The following is a 3,427-nucleotide window of genomic DNA, read 5'->3' on the forward strand; positions in this document are numbered from 1 at the left end:
CTTATCTTATCCAGATTCACTTTCTGTTTCTTCCAACCAAGAAGCTTGAGTTATGCACTGAGAACTCCACAAACAGCACATTAAATCTCCTCTTCTGAGAGAGGAACATTCTAAACCCACAAGCACGTAGGATGCAGGCTGTGTTTCCAAAAGAACTCCAGGACCCAACTCACTCGAAAGCCTACAGAAAAGCCTGCTTGGTTGCGCAAAAGAAGTGTCTATATACAGATGTTTATCCTCAGCAGTTGAGGAGTGAGGTTAGTCCTGTGGTCGCCTGACTACATGATTCACAGAGACAGCCTCAATTTTCTGAGTCATAGGAAAACCTCAGGTGGGCTGTGGAGACCCAGGAAACATTTGTGGTATTTTCATCCTGATGTTGCAATAGGAATATGATCTACAAATCTTGCCTGCTGGTCTCAAAATGCCAAAAAGGCAATAACATAAGCTTTTTTAAAAAAACGAATGAACCGAAGCGGGGGCAAGTAGAAGAAAGTGAGATTCAGAAATATGTTGTTGTTATTTACTCACAACAGTAAAGAAGATCAAAGGGTGGGCAGTTTTTTGATATCTTACAGTGGAAATCAACAAGCATCTTATTATAGAAAAAGGAGGAAAAAGCACATGTCCAAATTAGCAAAAGATGGGTGAATCCTTTTCTGAGCAGCTTGTGAGCTCATTAGCTAATCACGGGGGTTGGATAAAAGGGGCAGTTTGAATTATCTAGTTGTTTATTGGAAAAAGGTAGAGCATGGTTATCTGTTTTTTAATATGAAAAATACATAAGTGTTCAGAATTTTCATGAGTAGGGAAGAACTACTGAAAATGTAACTATGGAAGGCAAATCAGATAATAGAGATGAAAAATGGGGTATGTTTATGATTTTAGAAAGATGAATAAAAACAATTTTAGGTTGAATTGGACCTAAAGGGTGCTGAAGTTCAAGCATTGAAAGTGAATTTTGTAGCAAAGCCAGAGAGAGGAAAAGCCAGCATTTAAAAAAACATACAAAGATATAGTCAGTTACTATATACAGCTGATTTCACCAAAGGAAGACTGTTTTTGGCTGTTGAAATGCAAAAAAATCACTATATGAGAAGTGAAAATAAGGATATATTACTATGCATGGGCATAATGTTTTGTTTTATATAAAACAATAGTTTATAAAATAGCTTATATTTGTAAAGATTAAGGTTGTGGTGTGGTTGAGTGAGCAAAGGTTTGAAATTAGTCATGCATGGGTTCAAATTCTGACTTTATCACTGTAGTTGTTTGCTGGGTTACTGTAACAAAGTACTGCAGAATGGGTGGCTTAAACAACAGAAATGTATTTAACAAAGTGCCACAGACTCAGTGGCTTTAACTACAGAAATTAATTTTCTCACAGTTCTGGAGGTTGGAAGTCTAAGATCAAGATGTGGGTGGGGCTGGTTCCTTCTGAGGGCTGTGAGGGAAGGCTGTGCTCCAGGCCTCTCTCCTTGGCTTGTGGAGGGTCATCTTCTCCCTGTGTCTTAGCATCATCTTCCCTCTGTATGTGTCTGTTTCCAGAGTTCCTCATCTTTTAAGGATACCAGTCATATTGGATTAGGGCCCACCTTAATGACCTCAATTTAATTACCTCCTTAAAGACCCTATTTTCAAAAATGATTACTTTCTGAGGCACTGGGCGTTCATACTTCAACATATCAATTTTTGGGGAGACAGAATTCCAGCCTATAACACTTACTTACTATGTTTTCTTGGGCAAGTCGTTTAATTCTCCTGAGATCTCTCCCTCATCGTTAATGTAGGGGTAAAATATTGTTGTAAGATGACAGGTAAGTCATCCACAACTGTGGCTGACACAGAGTAAAAACTAAAAAAAAAATCAACAAATGTTTTTGCTGTTATCATTGTGATAAAGTACAGAGTGAGTTATAGCTAGAAGCACAGAAAAGGAAATGCTCACTTTAAAATTGTATTTCTGCAGCATTGTCAGCGAGTCAAGATACCTCTCTGCATTCCAGAGAACTTGTCCTGATCCTCGCAATCAGAGCTGTCTTGGAACAGATGTCACCTCCTCTGGTCTTTCCTGACCCACCGGCTCATTCATATCTCCTACTCAGCCAAGAAAATAGGTGTCTAGCTATAGAAAATAGTCTGATTTCCTGCCCAGAAACTGTTTCGGGTGAAAAAAAGCAAATGAAAAGGAAGTAAAAGGAGAGAGTTAGAGTATATTACATTTCTTGAATACCTGCAACCTACTTTTCCAATCACTTTTAAACCAGAGTTCTTTTTACAGCTTTCAGAGCTGAGCCCGTTAGTTGAAGCTCCGCCGAGAGAAGCCAGCAGAGGGCAGCAAAGGGCAGTTGGGCCTGCCGCACCGCTGATTCCCAGGTCTAGGGGCCATGTTACTTAGCAGGGAAGCTTCCCTCTACACCAGTAGTTCTCATTTTGCTGCATGTCAGAACCTCCAGAAGAGCTTTAAAAATCTCCTGATGTCCATGTTTCAGTCCAAAGCAATTAAATCAGAATAGAAGGAGGTAGAGGTTATATGGAGGGGCTATTGGGGCATGTCTCAGTCCATTAGAAGCCCAAAGAAACTTGGGATTTGGGGAAGGACTTGGATGAAGATAAATAAAGGGCAGCCAGGCTCTTTATTCAGATTATATCCACCATCCTAGAGAAGAGGGCCTGACATTTTTAAATCGTGACCGAACTGGAAGAGATTTGTAGTACTTTGAAGGTTGCCCTTCAAACGCATTGGAATCGTTGGCATTGCTAAGTGAGGTGATATTCAACAGGGCTATTTGATGAGATATGACAGATGCAAAACGAAAGTAGATTAATTTAGTAAGAGTATAAAAGAAAACGAATGTCACCCATCAAACAGGCAAAGGCAGGAGGTGAAAAGGAGCAGGAGAAAGACCTACCCAGGAGCCCTATGCGAGAGGCCACGCCCATCCTGCCCACTGATTGGGCCGAGGCACACCTTTGGTGTATAGCTGGCTCTCAGGCAGGAGGAAGGTTATCTGAAGAAGGTTCAAAGAAGTGTTTATGTGGCTGGAAGTCTAAAAAGAAATGAAGTGATAGAGGTTTACAAAGATGTTTGTGGAAGGAGAATTTACAGATTGTAGATGATGGAGAAAGAAGAAATTCTGACTCCACTCGCTACACCTTCAGCTCTTGAGAAAACTGAGTATGGACTGGGTGAGTTGAACATATAGTATATGAAGAAAGATAATTTTGACAATTGAATCTGTTTGTTTGAAGTGTGACTGTTAAACCTGAGCGAGTGGTTTGAGATGGAGGTGTTAAGACTCTGCTTGTCAACTCTATGAAGAAAATTAAATGTTGTACTGTGACCCAAATTATATTGGACATTTTCAAGCCCTGTTGTCCTAGAATTATTTTTTTTAAATAGTCAATTATGAAATCTTGAGAGTTG

At 39.9% G+C, this 3,427-nt stretch overlaps 1 annotated feature.

Annotated features, from left to right (window-relative positions):
• Positions 2,232 to 2,526: an enhancer, noted in NCBI's record as "tiled region #15266; HepG2 Activating non-DNase unmatched - State 12:CtcfO, and K562 Activating DNase unmatched - State 12:CtcfO". NCBI's record gives its function as "activates a minimal TATA promoter and a strong SV40 promoter by Sharpr-MPRA in HepG2 and K562 cells {active_cell/tissue: HepG2 | K562}" and the evidence as "EXISTENCE:reporter gene assay evidence [ECO:0000049][PMID:27701403]".

This window comes from Homo sapiens, chromosome 3 (genome assembly GCF_000001405.40).
Source record: "Homo sapiens chromosome 3, GRCh38.p14 Primary Assembly".
Taxonomy (NCBI): Eukaryota; Metazoa; Chordata; class Mammalia; order Primates; family Hominidae; genus Homo; species Homo sapiens.